The sequence below is a fragment of the Homo sapiens genome, chromosome 9 (genome assembly GCF_000001405.40).
Source record: "Homo sapiens chromosome 9, GRCh38.p14 Primary Assembly".
Lineage (NCBI taxonomy): Eukaryota > Metazoa > Chordata > Mammalia > Primates > Hominidae > Homo > Homo sapiens.
Window position 1 is genome coordinate 41,125,823 of NC_000009.12, and position 22,924 is coordinate 41,148,746.

General features: G+C 38.2%; 2 protein-coding genes across 30 annotated transcripts in view; both read right to left on the reverse strand.

Annotated features, from left to right (window-relative positions):
• Nucleotides 1–612: 612 nt before the first annotated feature.
• On the reverse strand, nucleotides 613–2,859 carry FOXD4L6 (forkhead box D4 like 6). The gene has a single exon (NM_001085476.4). The coding sequence runs from the start codon at nucleotides 2,559–2,561 to the stop codon at nucleotides 1,308–1,310; it is 1,254 nt and encodes a 417-aa protein (NP_001078945.1). The 5' UTR covers nucleotides 2,562–2,859; the 3' UTR covers nucleotides 613–1,307.
• A 2,627-nt stretch (nucleotides 2,860–5,486) lies between these two features.
• ZNG1F (Zn regulated GTPase metalloprotein activator 1F) overlaps nucleotides 5,487–22,924 on the reverse strand; it is a 74,427-nt gene continuing 56,989 nt past the window's right edge. For 11 of the 29 annotated variants that reach the window (XM_017015028.2, XM_047423722.1, XM_017015025.2 and 8 more), the window contains 6 exons: nucleotides 19,459–19,510; nucleotides 16,424–16,468; nucleotides 7,852–7,920; nucleotides 7,683–7,748; nucleotides 6,406–6,535; nucleotides 5,487–6,018 (listed from right to left, as the gene is read on the reverse strand). In XM_017015028.2, coding sequence (XP_016870517.1) covers nucleotides 5,912–6,018; nucleotides 6,406–6,535; nucleotides 7,683–7,748; nucleotides 7,852–7,920; nucleotides 16,424–16,468; nucleotides 19,459–19,510 — 469 coding nt within the window. In that variant the 3' untranslated portion in view covers nucleotides 5,487–5,911. Of the gene's footprint in view, nucleotides 6,019–6,405; nucleotides 6,536–7,682; nucleotides 7,749–7,851; nucleotides 7,921–16,423; nucleotides 16,469–17,128; nucleotides 17,334–19,458; nucleotides 19,511–22,924 lie in introns of those variants that run through there. The other 18 variants (NR_170339.1, XM_047423720.1, NM_001386877.1 and 15 more) reach the window with 6 other exon arrangements.

Here is a 22,924-nt window from a genome sequence, read left to right on the forward strand (position 1 = left end):
CAGCTTCCCTCAAAGCGGCACGGAATCGGGAACCCCACTCAGGACAGGGGAAAACGGCCAAGTTCCTAGAAATTTGTTTTCTTTGTGGGGAGCAATTCATGATGGGCGTTCTTGTCTGGTTTCCCCCCACTCCGTCCCCTGACGCCGAGTAACACTTAAACCTTTCTAGTTGCAAAGTCTTTTCAGAGTTGTTTTTTTTTTAAGAAATAAGTTTTGAAAATTCTAGTGCTTAAAATATATATATATATATATAATTTATAGCCTTTTATTTTCTCTGAGTACATGTTGGCCACTACATTCCAAATTGATCTCAAATGGTTTTCCAGCTTGTTGAGGGGTGATGAAAAATAAATGGAGAATATATTTACATGCCCTCCTATTCTTTTCTTTTAGAAGTCTCATAAATAGTAAATTTCCTATTTTAAAAGCCAGGACATTTTCAACCTCAAATATTTGGAATTTTTAAAGGCCATATTAAAATGGATTACTTCTGCTATCTATAATAAATATGAATTGTGAAAATAAATTGTTTGAGGGAAAGTAACGTAGGTTTTAAAAAGTTCCATTTAGAAAGGGAAGAATGAGATGTAATAGAAAATAAACGATGTAGTGTAGTGACTTAGCATTTTATTTCGTCTATATAACTAGGCTTAATTTTAACACCTTAATTTTAACATTAAAGATGGCACGTCAGACACACAGATAAGAAATCAATGTTCTGAAATTAATATCCTACTTACATTAAACATCCCTATCAGGAAGACACAGAGAGTAGAAGCATTTTGCACTAGACTTAGGAATAATACTTCCAGCTCCAAGGAAGTGAAGAAGGGGGAACATGTTTGGCATCGGAGGCTGTGTTTTTGTTTGCTTGCTTGTTTTTCTTTTAATGCCAGAACAAAATACCCCACTCACGTTCATAGTACCCCAGGAAATGCGCAAATCGGGACAGCCATAGAAGCCACAACCGAAGGCAAGAAAAGATGACTTGACGCCCTGCGAAGGTTACGTTCAGGTGGTTTTTAGAGGAACGTAATCCAGCTGTTTCTTTCTAACCATTTTGCAGCGAACAGAAGTTCGTGTTTGCTCTCCAGCGGGATTCAGATGCACACGCCCTGAATGGGCCGCGCAAGGTGAAGTGAGCAGCTGCGGGTCGCTCCCCACTCCCACCTGGCTCTAGGAGGGCCCTGCGGAGTTGGCCAGGGAACTGGGCGTGGGCGATACTAAAAAAACTGGTGAGGTCCCCTCTCCGCCCAAAGGGGCAGCCAGCGATGTCAGCCTAGAGCCCTCTGCCACTGCCTGATACCTCAGCAGGGCCGACGAGGCCGACAGGTGCCCGCCCAGCACCGCGCCCTTGGTGGGAGCGCAGCCGTTGGCGCAGTCCTCCTCCTGATGCTGCTGCTATTGCTGCAAAATTGTCCGAGCAGCGGCGGCGGCGGACACTTGCAGCAAAGGGGCAGCGGTCTGGGGATGCAACAGGCTTGATGGTCGCTGGAGCAGGTGGCAGTAGCTCCACGCGGTCGGGGACAAACTCTGCGCAGCCCCTGTACCCGCTCCCCTGACCCCTTGCATAATACTCTCAATGCTGAAAGAGATGCATCCGCCTCCCGGTGGCGACGCCAGACCCTTGCCCTCCTCCCAAGGCTGAGGACCAAGTGAGGGCTGCAGCACGGGAAGGGTGCCGGGGTCGCCAGGGCCGCGCCTTCTGCTTTCTTCGGTGCCCCGGCATAGACGGGGGCCGAGAGCAGTAGGTAGCGAAGAGGATGCGGGTGCAGCAGAGCGTAAGGGCGTCTCCCGGGGGCGGTGTTGGGGTAGGCCCCCGGGACTGGCTGCGGCGGGGCAGGGGCCCCAAGCAGAGGGCCTGGGTGGGGGTTGTGCAGGGCGGCGTGTGCAGCAGGTAGAGGGAAGGGGTGGGGCAGGTGGGCTCCCGGGGTCAGTTGGTGGCGCTTGAAACGCTTCCTACGCCGGAGAAAGCTGCCATTGTCGAACATGTCTTGGGAGGCGGGGTCCAGGCTCCAGTAGTTGCCCTTGCCTGGGTGGCCCGGCTCGCGGGGGATCTTAACGAAGCAGTCGTTCAGCGAGAGGTTGTGGCGGATGCTGTTCTGCCAGGCGGGGAACTTGCGGCGGTAGTAGGGGAAGCGGCCACTAATGAAGGCGCAGATGCCGCTGAGCGTGAGGCGCTTGTGCGGGTTTTGCAGGATGGCCATGGTGATGAGCGCGATGTACGAGTAGGGGGGCTTTGCCGGCTGCCGGGCATCTTCAGAGGCCGCCGCAGACCTTGGCGGTGCCCTGAACTTGGTGCCAAACTCTGAGGGGTCGCTCGGGCCGCCGCCGCCCTCGATGTGCTCTCGGGGAAGCGCAACCCCGCCCCACCGGGCCACCTGCAGCCCCGGCTGGAGCGACTGCTCTAGGAACTGCTGGCTCGCCGCCTCCTCCTCGTCTTCCACCTCGTCTTCATCTTCCTCCTCTCCCAGGACATCGATTTTACCGTCTTCCCCATCGGAGTCCCGGAGGCTGCGCTGCGGTGTGGAGCGAAGGCGCTCAGCTCTTGGCAGGTTCATGGAGGAGCAGGTGCTTCAGTCGCAGGGGATGTGGCGACCGATCACCTAGCCTGGGGCGGGCTGAGCTGGAAGCCTGGGATGAATGTTGCAAGAAGCAGGAACGCTAGTGGTTACCCTTTGGGATGTTTTCGTCTGCTTGTTTCTACTCCTTTGCAACAACGTCCGGCAAAGATGCCTTTGCCTTTTATAAAAGCTTCTTCAAGACCATGTGTGGTGGACTCCCCCCTTTATAACCCTTCTTCCCCTACCTCGGAGCGGTGCCACTTCCTCCTAACGTAGTCCAGGGATGATGGTCTTCTGGGCAAACACCCGTCCGGAGAAAAGCCCAGCCCCCTCCTCCTCGCACCCACCTGCCACCAAGGAAGATGCTCTACTCATCCGGTGCAGCCAGACAGTTGGCAAGCCTTTGCACGGGTTCTGTTAAGGCGCATTTAAACCCGCGCAAATAAAAGCGAGGTAGGAAAGTATGATACTCAACATTCTATGACCACCTCAACATGCAGCCTTCCCGCCTGGAGAAAAGAAATGGTGGGGCAGGAGGCTGAAATGTACACGGTTGTTTGTAAAGGAATGTGTAACCGTAAAAGTATGTTTTTGTGTTTCACAGCTGGTAATCACCCATTTTCATTGGTAGAGTCTGCCCTTACCCAGAATGGTGAGCTGAATTATATTTAAGGTTCTGACAATATTCCCAGGCTTCAGGGGGGTGTTGCTTTGCTCCTTCTACCTTCCTTCCCACCTCCTCAAGATGCTCTCCCTGACTCAAATTTTCAGAAAAGGCTCAAATGTCCCAGCACTAAATTGTGTAAGTTTACTCAGGGAAGGCAGGAGAGCTCACACGGAGTCCTCTGTCCCCTTGTAGCAATGGTTCTCCAATTTCTTTGAATATTTAACCACAGAAATACATTTTATATCACAATCTCACACATACAGACATAATACATAACTAAGATGGGTTTCACGAAACAATATACTTACACTATAGTGATCACTGATATTTCCTTTTAAAAAAAAATGGCCATAACCAACTAAATTGATTTCACACATACCAGTATGGGCCCAGTTTGAAAAATCCTGTTCTTACAAAGTGGCCCCACATACAAGAAATGCACCCACTCTATAAGGGCTTCTCTCTCTCCCTTTCCTCCTTCCTTTCTTCATCCTTTATAACCAATTCATTTTTAGAGACAGGGTCTATGTTGCGCAGGCTGGCTTTGAATTCCTGGGCTCAAGTGATCCTCCCGCCTCAGCCTCCTGAGTAGGTGGGACTACAGGCGTGCCACTATGCCTGGCTCTGGCTCTTCATTCTTTTTTTTTTTTTTCTTTTTTTTTTTTTGAGACGGAGTCGCTCTGTCGCCCAGGCTGGAGTGCAGTGGGGCGATCTCAGCTCACTGCAAGCTCCGCCTCCTGGGTTCACGCCATTCTCCTGCCTCAGCCTCCCAAGTAGATGGGACTACAGGCGCTCGCCACCACGCCTGGCTAATATTTTTAGTAGAGACGGGGTTTCACCGTGTTAGCCAGGATGGTCTCGATGTCCTGACCTCATGATCCGCTTGCCTCAGCCTCCTAAAGTGCTGGGATTACCGGCGTGAGCCGCCATGCCCAGCCTCTTCATTCTTTCAGAAATGTCAACATTAAGTGCTTTTACTGTAATAAAACTTGGGACTTCAATGAGGCAAGAAGGGGCTGCAGTGTTGCCTTTAAATCAGTGGGTCCTCATTCACTATCTGCACTGGGGAGGGGCAATATGACAGCACAACTGTTCATCTCACTCCCTCCACATCCTTAGAAGTAACACGATTTTTAGATTGGCTTCATGAAAATTAGCTCAGAGACTAAAGTAGCACTACAGAGGAATAAAAAAAATTTGTTATATAAATAAGAATCTTATTAAAATACTAAGTAAGATACTATGCCACGGTATATATTCATAATTTAAAACCCACCTACTTGGGAAAACTTTGAGGTGCCATCTAATAAAAATGCAGCATGAAAGAATATTATGCCCTTGATAGTCACATAGTGTCTATAATTATGACAATGAATGTTCAGTGAGAAATCAAACGCCAACTGCAAGGGCAAAATATAATAAAAAATAGCTTAAAGTAGCTAGTGCCTTCAGGATAAAATCTGGAAAAGAGCTTTCTTGCTGATCTTTTTTTGAAACTTTGCTGCTCCTGAAGTTTTTACCCTTTAAGGCTCCTCAGTTTATATGAAGCTTGGAGGACAAATAACAGACAGGTTTGAGCCTAACAGATTTGTTTGAATCCCAAATTTACCAATGACTGCTTGTGTGACCTACTAAACTAAGCTCCAGGAGGGCCAGGCCAGGTGTCTTATTCAACCACATAATCCCAGACGCCTCCTCCCCAGCGCCCCCCAGCATGTGAGGCAAATTTCCTCCATCAGCATAGGAATCGGATGACCTGGGAAAGGGAGTATTAGTTTTCCTAGAGCCAGCTTCAATAGGGATTGGGGTTATTTAAAAATACAGGAGAAAAATAAGGAGGCGCTCAAAAACAAAACACAAAACCCACACTGATGGGGGTATGTCAAAGGGGGGAACAGGAGATAACGGAAAGAGTTCCCAATGGTCAAAGCTGGGATAATTTGAGCAACAAAATAAAGTAGTATTAAATTGTAACCCAAAGTATAAAATATTCATGTGTCCACACTGATAAACATAAATGATCGAACTAATAAAGCGAAAGGGACAACTGTCCCTTGCAGAAGAATTTCAATTAATTATGTAGACCACTCCCAAGAAAGTACACTACAACTCCCCATTCCTTTAGTGTGGGCTGTGCATAGTGATTTCCTTCCAAAGAGCACAGTATGAAATGGGGGAGAAGAGTAACTTTACAATGCAGAAACCTGACAAACACTCCTTCAGCCAGGTGATCAGGTCGTCAACATCAACATCAATAACAGTCATAACCTTTTATTTCATGTCATAAAATGGTGACACTTACTTGTGTTAAAAAAATTTAATAACAATGTAATCATTATATCTCTGCAATCAGCTGAAGTTCTAAGAAAAAATGACAATGTTGAAAGTTGTATCATCATTATTATAAACTTTCATGTTCAGTATATGTAAACTCCAAAGCCAATTTCAAAAGATATTTTTGTGAAATACCATTCTTTAAAAAAAAGGATATTGTATATAATTGTATGAATGTTAAATGTTTTACAGTACTGATTTGCTACATTTTATGTATGCTGTAAAACAAATACCATTTTAAAGTATATTGGAATTCGTAACTAAAGTAATAAATAAATGCTTGAAATATACCCAGTAGAAACTTATTTTTATTATCCAATCCTTTTGATAAGAAATGCCTCTAGTGTTATGTACAAACTTGATCTTCTTTGAAATGTGTTGTCCACTGCTTTTCTGTTTCTGTCACAGTAGCTATAAACAGCTGTTTAAGGATATCCTTATCTAAATTTCTGCCTGCAAACAAAACAAAATATGACGTGATTACATTATGCTTATTAAAATGACACAGTTCACCTATCAATTCCAGTTCATTAAATGCTTTATGGTGTTTAAAAATTTACAAAAAGAATAGTAATTGAGTGATTCCATCTTTAACTTTCCAGGTCAGTACATCAAAGTCACATTGGTCCTTGGATTAACCACTTTTCTAAAATTGAAGAAGAACAAAAGTCCTAACAAGCTTTTACGAACATTGTAACGTGACAAAGATGAAACATTGACCACAAGCTTATTTAGTTTTAAAAGAGGACCTGAATGGTTAATCTGTTTAAGTGGCACATGATATCCCTTTCAAATATATTTTTCACTTTGTTTCAAAACTGTGAATCCTTTGAGACTTACCAATGAGGACCAATCGATTTGTTCTCTCAGTGTCATCCTTCCAGCTCACTGGAGTCTCCTCCAGATCACAGAGCTCATGGACACCCTGGACAATCACTTGTTGTGATTTGTCTTTGATTGACACCAATCCCTGCTCAAAGGAGAATTGACTGAACATTAATCAGCCTCAGTTCAAACTTAAAAGCAGAAATAGAGCATCAATGTTAATGGATTAATTACTGATATTCACTTAAAAAATACAAACTCTTAAGCTGAGAAAATTACTTAATTCCAATTATTTGTGAATTACAAGAAGTTTCTTAATGTTTTTAATTTTCAAAAAAGGTTTCTGTGTATTGATTTTTTTTTTGAACAATCCCCTTTTCTAATGATAAAGTTAATACATATATTAGGATGGTTTTTCAGTGTTATTTATCACAACCAAAACCTGAAACAAAATGATGAAATATGTATCATATCCTATTGATTAAAGATTTTATATAATGTTTCACAGTTTTAGTGGGAAAAGTTGAGAAGTTAAAGGAGTTTGGTTATATTAAATAATTTGTTTTAGAAATGGGTTGCAATCAATGAACAATGTTGAAATAAAGAAAAACTATTATATTTATCTGGATATGAGCTCAATTTATCTGAATATGAGCTCATTGTGTATTGATTTGCAGAAATGAGAAACGAATTATCTGATAAACTGGCTCCTATGGGGATGAAATTAATTTATTTGAAATAATATTCTTAATTTACCAAAAACTTTGTGCACACTTGTGAACACACAAGAGTAGACACTCAACTGACTGGTTAAGCATACACTTTAGAATCACTGCTTCCTAGAAGAAATACCTTTCATGACTTAAATACCCAAATATCAAGTAATGTGAGTGGGTTTCTAAATACAGAACAAGAATTCTTCTAGTCCTTTGTAACTTTGTTTAGAGTACAACAAATGTTTAGTGTCTGCTAAATGCATCAGGAAGCATAATGTTCAGCAGAAGTGAGATTTGCAACATTATTTCTCTGTACTTGGGAACAGAGAGCAGAAGGTAACATTTCAAAGCACACAGGTTTGTTCTAGCTGCAACCCTAAAGAAAGTTGTGCAAATAAATCAAGCCTTATGCAGTGATTTCCAAAGCTCCTTTTCAGTCATGAAAATAATAAAGAAAAATGAAAGTAGACAAAGATGATTTGTACTAAAACCAGTGTTTCTGTTTAAAACCAAATATAGTTTTTATAACAGCCAAGAAAAGGACTTTGTCCAAAAGTCTGCAACAGTAAACTGTACCTTCAGCCTTATGACCTCCATGCAGTGATTGTCCTTGTTTCTCACATTCTTTTCCCACAGAAGATTCTGTATCAAGTGACATATTTTAATAAGACCAACCATCGCTAATAGCAACAACTATGTAACAAAACCATTGATAAATCATTAATCAGTTAAAAATTGCATTCACCTGAATAAACATATTAAGATGTTCTTCCTTTGCATTTCCTGGTACGTCAAATGTGATTGTAACAATACTCTGTAAATCAAGGGAAATAATAATAATTCTTTATAGTGATATCAATGTTTTTTAAATCACAAATTTTAAGATGAAAGGAACATATTCATGGAATTTTACATTGCTTAAACCATATATATTAGGTATTATACTTTCCTCAGCATATGTGCTGTTTTTTTGGAATTAGCAACTCCATTTCCTACATTCTGCACAGGTACCAATGGATTTAGTATTTACACAAACTACTACCTTGTATTTTAAAAAACTCACTCAAAAACCCTGATGAAAGGGTCCTCATTATTTAATTCATTCTTTCGTGGATTCTCAGCAATAAGAATATATGTAACACATACAATGTACTCACTATACAGGGCCAGGTACTTTTGCCTGAGTCACCTCATTGTATCTTTTGACTTACTCTTCACAACAATCCTGGGGAGTGAAGATAACTATTTCATTTTATAAATTGGGGAAAATAAGGGTCAAAAAAATAAGCTACCCAGAGCCAGGAATAAAACTCAGAACCAAAGTAAATTTGTTCTCTTAAAAAAAAAATACAAAAGAAAGGCTTGGCTTATCTTTAACTGAATAAGCATGTGCCAAGAGGAGAAGAGTTCTTAGTGATGAGAATGATAGGATAATGCCCTCTTTGGCTTTAGTAAGGGTGACATCATCATGTATTGAATATTAACTTTAGGATTTATTTTTCTTCTTTATCTTGATAAATCTCTCACTGTCTACCCTAAAGAAACAGAAGCTTAACATTTCCTCTAACAGGTCACCTAATTAAAACCCAAACCTCCCTTTGCCAATATAACCCCAAATTTCAAACTCAGAGATGAAAATACACAAGGGCTAAGCATAACATTATAAAAACATACACCCCACCTTGGAAAATAGAGGCTCAAAAGCCAAGCTCAAAATGAATTTAAAAAGGTAGAAAATAATATACTAAAGCACATCTTTGCATAACTTCCTAGAACTGCGTATCTGGCCTAGCAATTTTACTCACCATTACATAATCATACAGGCTTACAGCAGAAAATACAAAAAGACCAAAACTATTTTATAATCCAAACTCAAGAGAATCGCTAAAGTATTAAAGACCAATTTAGGCAGAAACATATGAGACATTTCTTTCTTTCCATAGGTTACTGGGGAACAGGTGGTGTTGGTTAACTTCTTTAGTGGTGATTTGTGAGATTTTGGTACACCCATCACCTGAGCAGTATACACTGCACCCAATTTCTGTCTTTTATTCCTCATCCCCTTCCCACCCTTTCTCCCTGAGTCCCCAAAGTTTATTGTGTCATTCTTATGCCTTTGCATCCTCATAGCTTAGCTCCCACTTACGAGTGAGAACATAGCGATGTTTGGTTTTCCATTCCTGAGTTCTTTCACTTAGAATAATAGTCTCCAATCTTATCCAGGTCACTGTGAATGCCATTAATTCACTCCTTTTTATGGCTGAGGAGTATTCCATTGTATGTATATATATCACAGTTACTTTATCCACGCATTGATTGATGGGCATTTGGGTTGGTTCCACGTTTTTGCAATTGCGAATTGTGCTGCTATAAACATGCGTGTGCACGTATCTTTTTTGTATAATGACTTCTTTTCCTCTGGGTGGATATCTAGTAGTGGGATTGCTGGACCAAATGGTAGTTCTACTTTTAGTTCTTTAAGGAATCTCCACACTGTTTTCCATAGTGGTTGTACTAGTTTACATTCCCACCAGCAGTGTAGAAGTGTTCCGTGTTCACCACATCCATGCCAACATCTACTATTTTTTTGATTTTTTTATTATGGCCATTCTTGCAGAAGTAAGGTGGTATCGCACTGTGGTTTTGATTTGCATTTCCCTGATCATTAGTGATGTTGAGCATTTTTCCATATGTTTATTGGCCATTTGTATATCTTCTTTTAAGAATTGTCTATTCATGTCCTTAGCCCACTTTTTGATGGGACTGCTTTTCTTGCTGATTTGTTGGAGTTCATTGTAGATTCTGGATATTTGTTCTTTTTCAGATGTATATATTATGAAAGATTTTCTCCTTCTCTGTGGGTTGTCTGTTTACTCTCCTGACTTTTCCTTTTGCTCTGCAAAAGTTCTTTAGTTTAATTAAGTCCCAGCTATTTATCTTTGTTTTTATTGCATTTGCTTTTGGGTTCATGAAATCCTTGCCTAAGCCAATGTCTAGAATGATTTTTCCAATGGTATCTTTTAGAATTTTTATAGTTTCAGGTCTTAGATTTAAGTCTTTAATTTATCTTGGGTTGATTTTTGTATACAGTGAGAGAGGAGGATCCAGTTTCATTCTCCTACATGTGGCTAGCCAATTATCCCAGCACCATTTGTTGAAAAGGGTATCCTTTTTCCACTTTACGTTTTTGTTTGCTTTGTTGAAGATCAGTTGGCTGTAAGTATTTGGGTTTATTTCTGGGTTCTCTATTCTGTTCCATTGGTCCATGTGCCTATTTTTATAACCGTACCATGCTGTTTTGGTGACTATGGCCTTATAGTATAAGTTTGAAATCAGGTAATGTGATGCCTTCAGATTTGTTCTTTTTGCTTAGTCTTGCTTTGGCTACGCACATGTGTATGTTAAACCATCCCTGCATCCCTGGTATGAAACCCCTTGATCATGGTGGATTATCTTTTTGATATGTTGTTGGAATCAGTTAGCTAGAATTTTCTTAAGGATTTTAGCATCTATGTTCAAGGATATTGGTCTGTAGTTTTCTTCTTTGGTTGTCCTTTCCTGGTTTTGGTATTAGGGTGATACTGGCTTCATAGAATGATTTAGGGAGGATTCCTTCTTTCTCTCTCTTGTGGAATAGTGTCTTTAAGACTGGTACCAATTCTTCTTTGAATATCTGGTGGAATTCTGTTGTGAATCCGTCTAGTCCTGGACATTTTTTTGTTGGTAATTTTTTAATTACCATTTCAATCTCCCTGCTTGTTACTGGTCTGTTCAGGGTAATTCTTCCTGATTTAAGCTAGGAGGGTTGTATCTTTCCAGGAATTTATCCATCTATTTTAGGTTTTCTAGTTTATGCATGTAAAGGTGTTCATGGTAGCCTTGAATATCTTTTGTATTTCTGTGGTGTCAGTTGTAATATCTCCCGTTTCATTTCTTATTGAGCTTATTTGGATTTTCTCTCTTTTCTTGGCTAATCTTGCTAACGGTCTATCAATTTTATTTATCTTTTCAAAGAACCAGCTTTTTGTTTCATTTATCTTTTGGATTTTTTTGTTGTTTTGTTTCAATTTCATTTAATTCCGCTCTGATCTTCTTTCTTCTGCTGGGTTTGTTCTTGTTTCTCTAGTTCTTTGAGATGTGACCTTAGATTGTCTGTGCTCTTTCCAACTTTTTGATGTAGGCATTTAGGGCTATGAACTTTCCTCTTAGCACCACCTTTGCTGTATCCCAGAGGTTGATAGGTTGTGTCACTATTGTCATTCAGTTTGAGGAATTTTTACATTTCCATCTTGATTTCATCTTTGACCCAATGATCATTCAGGAGCAGGTTATTCCATGTATCTGCATGGTTTTGAAGGTTCCTTTTGGAGTTGATTTCCAGTTTTATTCCACTGTGGTCTGAGAAAGTGCTTGATATAATTTTAATTTTCTTAAAATTTATTGAGGCTCATTTTGTTGGCTATCATATGGTCTATCTTACAGAAAGTTCATGTGCTGTTGAACAGAACGTATATTCTGTGGTTGTTGCATGGAATATTCTGTATATATCTTTTAACTCCATTTGTTCCAAGGTATAGTTTAAATCCACTGTTTCTTTGTTGACTTTCTGTCTTGATGACCTGTCCAGTGCTGTCAGTGGAGTATTAAAATCCCTCACTATTATTGTGTTGCTGTCTGTCTAATTTTTTAGGTCTATTAGTAATTCTTTTATAAATTTGGGAGCTCCAGTGTTAGGTGCATATGTTTAGGATTGTGATACTTTCCTGTTGGACAAGGCCTTTTTTCATTATATAATGTCCCTCTTTGTCTTTTTAAACTGCTGTTTCTTTAAAGTTTGTTTTGTCTAATATAAGAATGGCTACTCCTGCTCACATTTGGTGTCCGTTTGCATGAAATGTCTCGGTCCATCCCTTTACCTTAAGTTTATGTGAGTCCTTATGTGTTAGATGAGACTCTTGAAGGCAACAGATAGTTGGTTGGTGAATTCTTACCTATTCTGCAATTCTGTATCTTTTAAGTGGAGCATTTAGGCCATTTATATTCAATGTTAGTATTGAGATGTGAGGTACCACTCTATTCATCATGCTATTTGTTGCCTGTATACCTTGTTTTTTTGTTTTTTGTTGTTTTTCTAATTGTATTTTTGTTTTATAGGTCCTGTGATATTTATGCTTTAAAGAGGTTCTGTTTTGATATGTTTCCCGGATTTGTTTCAAGATTTAGAGTTCCTTTTAGCATTCTTGCACTGGTGGCTTGGTAGTGGTGAATTCTCTGTTTGTCTGAAAAAGCTGTATCTTGCCTTCATATATGAAGCTTAGTTTTGCTGAATACAAAATTCTCAGCTGATAATTGTTTTGTTTGAGGAGGCTGAAGATAGGGTTCCAATCCCTTCTGGCTTGCAGGGTTTCTGCTGAGAAATGTGCTGTTAATCTGGTAAGTTTTCCTTTACAGGTTACCTGGTGCTTTTGTTTCACAGCTCTTTCTTTCATCTTAACTTTAGATAACCTGACGACAATGTGCCTAGATGATGATCTTTTTGCGATGAATTTCCCAGATGTTCTTTGTGCTTCTTGTATTTGGATCTAGGTCTCTAGCAAAGCTGGGGAAGTTTTCCTCAATTATTCCCCCAAATATGTTTAACAAACGTTTAGATTTCTCTTCTTCCTCAGGAATGCCGGTTATTCTTAGGTTTGGTCATTTAACATAATTCCAGATTTCTTGAAGGCTTTCTTCATATTTTCTTATTCTTTTTTCTTTGTCTTTATTGGATTTGGTTAATTAGAAGACCTTGTCTTCAGGCTCTGAATTTCCTTCTTCTACTTGTTCAATTCTATTGCTAAGACTTTCCAGAGCATTTTATATTTCTATAAGTATGTCCATTATTTCCTAAAGTTTTGATTGTTTTTTATTTATGCTATCTAGTTCATTGAATATTTCTCCCTTTACTTCTTGTATCTTTTTTTTTTATATATATATCCTTACATTGGGCTTCACCTTTCTCTGGTGCCTTAGCTTAATAACCAACCTAGTGAATTCTTTTTCAAGTAAGTCAGGGATTTCTTCTTAGTTTGGATCCATTGCTGGTGAGCTAGTGTGATTTTTTGGGGGGTGTTAAAGAACCTTGTTTTGTCATACTACCAGGGTCGGTTTTCTGGTTCCTTCTCATTTGGGTAGGCTCTGTCAGAGAGAAGGTCTAGGGCTGAAGGTTGTTGTTCAGATTCTTTCATCCTACGGGGTGTTCCCTTGATGTAGTACTCTCTCCCTTTTCCTATGGATGTGGCTTCCTGAGAGCTGAGCTGTAGTGATTGCTATCTCTCTTCTGAATCTAGCCACCCAGCAAGTCTACCAGGCTCCAGGCTGGTACTGGGGGGTAGTCTGCACAGAGTCGGGAGATGTGAACCATCTGTGGGTCTCTCAGCTGTGGATACCAGCACCTGTTCCAGTGGAGGTGGTAGGAGGGTGAAATGTACTCTTTGAGGGTTCTTAGCTTTGCTGGTTTAATGTACTATTTTTGTGCTGGTTGGCCTGCTGCAGGGAGGTGGCACTTTCCAGAGAGTGTCAGTTGTGGTAGTATGGAAAGGAACAGGTGATGTGTTGGGCTCTAGAACGCCCAAAAACATGAGATATTTAATCTCCACTGTTACTAGTAATAGGAAAAGCGGAAAAGTGCTTTCTTGCTTGATAAGAGAAGTACAAGCAGACTAAAAAAAGATTCAAATTGAACTTGCAAATGTGAGACTTTTAAAAGTACTTATTTTGTCACAGCAGCCAAGACACTAACAACCACCTAAATGTCCAGGACAGTTGAATGGATAAAATAAATGTGGTAATATACATACAACCAAATATTATGTATCCTTAAAAAAAATCCTGTCATATACTACAACATGGATGAATCTTGAGGACATTACACTAAGTGAAATAAGCCAGTCACAGAAGGACAAATATTGCATGAATCCACTAATATCAGGTGTCTAAAACAGTAAAACTCATCAAATCAGAAAGTAAAATGGTGGTTACCAGGGGTCAGAGGGAGACGAAAATTGGGAGGTGCTGTTCAATGGGTATAATTTTAGTCATGCAAGATGAAAAGTTCTAGAGATCTGCTATATAACAATGTACATACAGTTAACAATACTATATTGTACCCTTAAAAATTTGTGGAAGAAGGTAGGTCTCACGTTAAGTGTTTTTTACCACAATAAAAAATATACAGTCATGGATACATAAAGAGAAATGAGCTGTTGGGCAATTTTGTTGTTATACAAACATGATAGTGTACTTACACAAACCTAGATGGTATAACCTACTACACACCTAAGCTATGCTGTATAGCCTGTTGCTCCTAGGCTACAAACCTGTACAGCATATATGTTACTGTACTGAACAGTGTATCGAAATAATAACACAATGGTATTTGTGTGACAGTAATTTTTCAGCTCCATCATAATCTTATGCAGTCTGACTAAAACGCTGTTATGCAGTGCATGACTATACTTATTTTTAAATCTTAATAAACATACTCTATTTTAAAACTATTTTTATAGCATAAGGTAATAATAATATGCATTTTTAAATGACAATTATTTTATTTCTTCATTAAAGGAATCACTACAATACCTAAAAGTCCACATAAAAATATACAGCAAAAGGTTGTCAAATGAAACATAACTGTCAGTTAAAAAAAAATAAATTTAGTCTTCAAAAATGTTTAAAATGTATTTTAATGCAAGTTGGAAAACTATATTGAGAATGTCGCAAAATACGACTCAAAATTGCTTTATTGTTAAAGATTTTAACTGAATAAATTTTTTTGAGATGGGGTCTCACTCTGTTGCCCAGGCTGGAGTAGAGTGGCACAATCATGGCTTACTGTAGCTTTGAACTCCCAAGCTAAAGCAATCCTCCCACTTCAGCCTCTCGAGTAGCTGGGATTACAGGTACATGCCACCATGCCTGGCTAATTTTTTGTATTTTTTGCAGAAATGGGGTTTCACCATGTTGCCCAGGCTGGTCTACAACTCCTGGGTTTTAAGCAATCCACCCACCTTGGCCTGTCAAAGCGCTAGGATTACAAGCATAAGCCACCACACCCAGCCTAAAGATTTTTATAATGATTTTTGCTTTTAACAGGTTAAATATTTTTGACTTAATATTTTTAAGGGGTACAATAAACTCCAGTATGAGACAAAAAAGGCTTTAAAAATTAAAGCTCAAGAAGGATGATCTATATTTTGGAACCAGATGTTTTCCTACACCAATAAACTCTTTTCATGTTAGAAAAACCCTGAAAAAATCTGTAATTCCCAGTGCAGAAGATAAGGGTCACAACTCATAGTTGGTTCTAATAATAAACTAAACATTATTTGTCACTTGGGTTTTCTCATCTACCTTCCCGCTCTCCAAACCCAGGTGTTCCTTATGGGGAATAAACAAAGAATCCATGAAAAATAGATAACTGCATTAAAAATTCAGGGATAGAGCCTTAATAACACATATATACTAGGTCCTAGGTATTACCCATTTCAGACTTTTTTTTTCCAGTTTTTGTTTTGAATCTAAAATTAACTCCTTTTTCCATGTATGCTGACACAGAAAGAAACAGAAAAGTGAGGCAATAATTGAGAAAACTAAAGCAAAATGAGGAATTGTCTCTAAAATAAAATTTAGGAACAACTTACTCAGGTTTGTTTATTTAGTCCGTTTCTTCTTTAACCCACTGGGTTATTTCTCCATTTTCTACTCTTTTGCAAACAATACCTAACATACAATAACTTTTATATGTTTTCTTCATCCAGAACACTAAGCCCCCTAATGTGCTTAAACTCAAAATCTGTACCTTCACACTCTATCCCTCTGTTCTTCTTTGCCTGTATAATATCTATAGTATAATATCTGGCCACCAGGGACAACTGAATATATGGCATTATCATCCAAATCACTTTGCCGTCCCGATTTTTCTATTTCTAGGTTTCTCTAGTCAATCTAGGCTTGTTTCCCATCACCCCTTCTTTTCTTTCTGATCCATACTCAGTCAGACAGGATATTCAGGCAAGTCTACTGGTGAAACAGCTCTGGATTTATCCCATTTCTAGTCTCACTGTAACCAACATGTTTCAGGCCCTTATCACACAGTAACTTCCCGCATGGTCTCCTGACTCTAAAGTCCAATCTAGCTTACATAACACTCCTAGACAGCACTGCTTGAGTTTTCTTTGTCTAGCAAATTAAAACCTAATACCTTAGACCAGGATTCCAGTACCAACTCTCCACTAAGACTTCTGTACCAGAGACCTACTCATCTATAAGATTCTCACCTTCTCATTTTTAAACATCCATATTGCTCTTTTCCTTACTTCTTCCTGTCAAAAAAAATCCTACCGTCAAAAAAAATCCTACCAGTTCAAGGTTATTTTTTGTTAAGTAAGTCAGAATAGCACTTACCCCTTCTTTGACTAGGAAGGGGCAAAAAGGAACTCTTTACAATTTTGGATATCTTTTGTATCTTGACCTGAGTGGGAGTTAGAAGGATATGTGTTTGAATGTGCATATAGACAGATATATAGGTACAAATATATGTAAAAATACATTGAGGCCGGGCACAGTGGCTCACGCCTGTAATCCCAGCACTTTGGGAGGCCGAAGCAGGTGGATCACCTGAAGTCAGGAGTTTGAGACCAGCTTGGCCAACATGGTGAAACCCCATCTTTACTAAAAAAAAAAAAAAAAAAAAAAAAAAAAAAAAAATACAAAAATTAGCTAGGCATGGTGGTACATGCCTGTAATCCCAGCTACTCAGAAGGCTGAGGCATGAGAATCACTTGAATCTAGAAGGAGGAAGTTGCAGTGAGCCAAGGTCACACCACTGCACTCCAGCCTGGGTGAGACTCCAGCCAGAGCGAGACTCCGTCTCAGAAAAAACCAAAAAAACAAAAACAAAAACAAAACCCAAACATTGAATTGTACACTAAAATTACACATTTACATGCTTTATGCAAATAAATAAACCAAAACCAAAACAAACAAACAAAAAACTATCCTCATGAAGCATTTGATGGGGTTCAGGACATGCTATCCCAAAATATGGCAACTCAATATTTGAGAAAATGGCAGAATCAGGAAGGTCACTCTCACCTTCTCTCCTGAAGCAGGTCATAAAACCTAGGAAAGATTTTCTGACCTTCCGCTGATGCAGGTCATAAGACCCTCATTTAAGAGGTGCCCTCTCTATACACAGAGGAAAAGAACATCCTTAAGTCTGAATATGAAGGGTCACAGAGAAAAATCTGAACAAACAGGCCTTGCTAAGTTCTTCCCAGTTTATTATTAGATCATACTGTTTTATCTAATTATGCTTCTCCATTAACTATCCTCTTCCATACCATAACTAACAGAAAACATACACAGGTATGTTTTATGAAGGCTCCTGTGTCAAGTAAAACTTACTAAATAAATTTCTATGTTGAAATTTCTCTTGATAGTTGGTCTTCTGTTAGAGAGACCTCAGCCATGAATCTAGTGATAGGCGAGGAAAAGATAAATTTCCTCCCTTACACCTCAGATCCACTAAACCAAATGAAATTGTTCTTGCCTCTGAATCCCATAGCCCTTTGGCTGTGATACTATTTTTCCCTATGTTTATATTATCTAAAGCAGGACAGTGCATCAGAATCTCCTACAGAGGCTACAAAAATATAGATATGCCCTATTTAGTAGTAAAGTGACATAATGTCTGGAATTTGCTTTAATACACTACACCAAGAGCAATAGGTACATACAGGCTCATTATACTATTCTACTCTTATGCACGTTTGAAATTTCCTATTAAAATACATTTGTTTTTTTAAAATACTCCAGGCAAAAGAAATGTTGGGAGGATAGGTGAAATAAAATCAGCTAAATGTTGATGCCATTTAAACTGGGTGATGCATACAAGGGGTTTACTTTACTATTCTGTTTATTCTTTTATATCTTTGAAATCTTCCATAATAAAATGTTAAAAATATACATTAATATACACATACCCAAGTCCCAATCCTGGAGACTGAGGGGTGAGAACTACTGAATTATCGATTTTTTTTTAAAAAAGCTCCACATGTGATTCTGATTTATACCTCATTTGAGAAACACAGCTTTTCATTCTTTTAACAAATATTCACTGAGTATCCACCAAGCCCTGTACTAAGCAATAAAGATTTTATATTTAAGGAATTTATAGACTAATGCAAGGCAAAAGCATTTCAACCAAACTACAAGGCATCATAACTGCCACAATAGGGGTTCATTCGAGATTCTATGGATGGAGACACTGGCTGCTCCAAATGTTCATGGTAAGTGAGTACTGCGTTTGCTTCATCTTTTCATCCCTATGATTCTTGGTATCACGTTCTTTACCCAGAAGCTCAAATGTGCTTCATGTTCAACTATATGACAGATACCGACTATCATAAAGAACTGAGTTTTTTTTTTTTTACCATAAATTCTATCTCCAAGGACTTGTATTTCTCTCATTTATTCATTTTAAAGATAAGTGAAGAGGAATATCCTATTAACAAAAGTTTCACAGGGAAAGGTGCCACAAACATAGTAGCAAACCTGCTCATAAATGTGAACCAAAATGAATACAAATGCAAGTAGCTGTTATCTTGGCCCTATTACAACCAACAGCAATTCAAAAATTGAGTGATCACTTGAGAGAGAGGAAGGAAGATTAGGCACACTGCTCACTTACACATCCCCCACTCCACCCCTCAGGGTTTTAAGAGGAACAAAGAAGTTATCCTAAAGCTCTATGATCTATGATCTGCTTAACAGAAACGCAGGTACAGTAAAATTATATTTAAATTGTTCCTAGCATCTTAGATATTTACCTTAGGGATTAGAATTTTAGAGCATGAAAAACATCTTAAGGAGTTCAAATTTATAGTGCTACCTGAAGGTGAAACTCCAAGTCAATTTTTATTTAAATAAGCCATGCTTATATCAGACCTTTCCTTAAACAATTCAACATACTTAAAAACAGACTGCCTATAGAACCCCCAGGCTGCTTTTAAGGAGTAATCCCTATCAGAACTAACCAATATGCTAAGCAATCTACAGAATGGAAAGGCTAGAAAGCATGGTTTCCTCAGATTCTAAAACAAATCTGGTTTGATGAATTCCTATTATGTGTTAAGAAATAGAATTAGACTATGTCAAAAGCATTTAAGATTCCAAAAATTATCAACACAGTTCAAAAATACCATTTTAGAAAAAGTTTATAATAAAATAGTCCTAAACATAGCCTATCTAGTTAAAGAGGTCCTTTAAAAACATTGATTAGAAATTTTGGATTTAGATTTTTTTTCTTTACCTGATCAAGGTGAGGTTGTGTTCCTGGCACATGCTGAAGTTTTTTCTGCAAACTAAAAACAACTGATTAGAAATTCAGAGATGAATACACTTCTGATTTAACTTTATACGTTATTTAGTGACACAAGGATAATGAAGTGACTTTCCATAACTGACTATTCTAATATTCTGTAATTCCAATTTTACAAGTTGTTCGCAAATTCCAATAGAGAAAAGCTGGCAGATTAAGTTTTTTTAAAATTTCTTAAAAAAAAACACACATTCATATATATACATATGCACAGAATAAAGAGAAAAACTAGTCTTTTAGCAACACTATTTTGTATGGTTAAATATGTCAGTAAATTTCTTTACCATTCCAACAGGTTTAATACAAACTTAAATATATATATAACCATTCTAGTATTGTTTAGAGTTCCTTAACTTTCTCCTGCTTCCTAATATGAAAATAATGCTGGCACCTAAAGAAAGTTGAAAGGATAAATTTTCCTTTATCAATGTTTTCCCTTGAACTTATTAAAAAAGAAATAGTATCCATAAATATAAATTTTCTATATAGTCAGTTACCAATTGAGAGAAAAAGAAAGTCAGAATGTTAAAAATACATTGTTCTGATATGAAAAGCACAAGAAGATCAACATGGCATAACAAATTACAACCATAATAACTGTAGCATACATTTCAACACTGATGGGGACAGGACGGGAGGGGGAAAGGACTGAAAACCTTGCAGATGCTTTGCCTTGAAGAACAGTGAGGGGTAAATTAGTAACAGCAAGTTTAGGAAAGAGAAAGAACTTGTAGGAACTATTGGAGGGAATGAGTCTCTTTGGGGGGTCCTAGTAAGGAGAATGTCAAATTAAATCCTTCCCAGCTGGTTGCTCAGGAAAAGATTCTCCTGTTTAGCAGTTAAGCACACACAAAAAAGTCATGCAATGGCCTTCCCTATAGTGGTGAGATCACATTAAATAGCTACTTCAAGTGTCACTAAAGCATTATAACTGCTCTTAAGTGTATGTAGAATGAGATTACTTTAGAAAAACATTTCAAAAAATCATATGCTTTTCCTTATGTTCAGTATTTAATGTTGTTGGACAATGACTGCCTAAAACTTCATACGCAGCAAAAAAAAAAAAAAAAAAAAAATCTAACAACGAACATTTAAGTTTAGTTCCCATAAGTCTCAGAATTTCATGCCCTCGATTTTTTTCCCTATCATACACATTTTTAAAAGACTAATCTAGTGGATAAGGATATGCTATCAAAACCTGAAACTCATGAATCGGAAATCATCTTGCACATTAACTTGTAATCTTATAACAATTTTTGTCTCTGCACACATAAAATGTAAATTCTGCACGCATAAAATGTAAAAAATCTCAAACAGTTTAGTGTTTTGTATATTTAAATCATTATGTTCTATAACAAACAATAATTTAGGTATTGTCAGTAAGATGGAATTAGCAACATTTCTATTTCTCCCAAGTAAAAATATAGAATGATATAAAGAACTGGATGCCTTGATGAAAGTACCTGTATTACAGCAAATTATAGCAAAAGACAGAAGTAGAAAGGAAAAACAAAAATTGATATACTGAATATAGAGGTGGGAAATGATTGCATACTATAATTCTTATTAGTGAAATAAAGCACTAAAGGATACAATATGTAAAGGGAAAAAATAAAACTTCAACTAAAAAATATTCTAGTGTTTAACATATTAAATGACAACCAACTTGTAAGCTCTTGGACCCAACAGAGATAAATTAGTTTAAGAAAGGCAAATTTTGCTGGGTTCAGTGGCTCAGGCTTATAATCCCAGCACTTTGAGAGGCCAAGTAGGAGAATCACTTGAGGCCAGGAGTTCAAGATGAGCCTGAGCAACGTAGCGAGAGCCTGTCACTACAAAAAAGTAAAAATAAAAAAATTAGCCAGGCATGGGTGCAAGCCTGTAGTCCCAGCTACTCAGGAGGCTGAGATGGGAGGATCACTTGAGTCCAGGAGTTCACGACTGCAGAGAGCCATGATAGCCACTGCATTCCAGCCCAGGTGTCAGAGTGAGACTCTGTCTCAATAAAATAAAATAATTAAATAAATATGAAAAAAAGAAAAGGCCAAGTGTGGTGGCTCACGCCTATAATCCCATTACTTTGGGAGGCTGAGGTGGGCAGATCACTTAAGCCCAGGAGTTTAAGATCAGCTTCGGCAACATGGCAAAACCTCATCTTCTACCAAAATAAAAAATTAGCCAGGCATGGTAGTGCGTGCCTATAGTCCCAGCTACTCATGAGTCTGAGGTGGGAAGATGGCTTAAGCCCAGGACACAGAGGCTATAGGGAGCTGACATCGCACCACTGCACTCTAGCCTGGGCAATAGACCCAGACCCTGTCTCCAAGGGGAAAAAAAAAAAAAAAGAAAGGCAAATTTCATGCAGCATTGTTTCATTGGTTCCCCTTGTAAACACATTTAAATGTATCACAGGATCTGTAACTATCAAAACTGCCCACAGCATCAAATTAAAAATACAGTTCTAATCCAGACACGGCGGATGAAAGCGATCATGGCTAACTAGTGAAACAGCACTGATAGTCAAATGAAGGGCTGGAACCTTGAAGTAAAAAGAAGAAAAGGATCATCGAGAGAAAAGTTAGGATGGGCTAGACTTCTGGTTATTTCAGAAATGGGTAGCAAAAGACAAAGGCTCTTAACCTCCCAGAATTAGGTGACAACCTCAGCCAATCTATCTCCCTAGTAAAGCCAGAACTAAGATGGGAAAAAAAGACCATTTTTAAATGAACAAACCAAATTTATGCTTAGGGCTGTATTCGCTTAATGGAGGAACAGTCATTTCAAAATTAGTAAAACAAAAGCTTTATATGAAAAAACATAGTATAATTCTGAATGATTTTCATACAATCATTATCAAGCATAAGTGATACTGGATACCTGAAGCTGACATGAGGGAAAAAGCCTCAGGGAGATTTCACAACTTTGTACAGCAGTGGCTTGAAAGGATATAACTATATTTACCATAAAACAAGAAGTAGTCATTTTTACCTTACACAATTTATAAGAATTTTTAGAAAAATAGAAATAACTCACATGTAATTCAGGTATACCAAACTTTCCTGCCTTCCTACTAAATGGAACTAGAAAAGCAAAATGTTGATTTTTTCCAGGTACTCCAAAAATACCTTTATAATTTTAACCGTAATTTGTTTAGTCTAAAAAGGTACTCCTCCAATACCAGAAGCTACAGGTGAAAAACATATCTCTCAACTGAAGACAACTTCTTGAATAACTGTGTCACTGACAAGTTTACTCTCTGAGCTTCAGTTTCCAAACTGAGAAGGAGGAATAACTGCCCTGCCTGTCCCACACTTCTGGCTGCTGAAATAATCTCAATCAATTTCTTTTTTCTTTCTTTCTTTTTTTTTTTTACAAACTACATGCAAATTTAATTTTT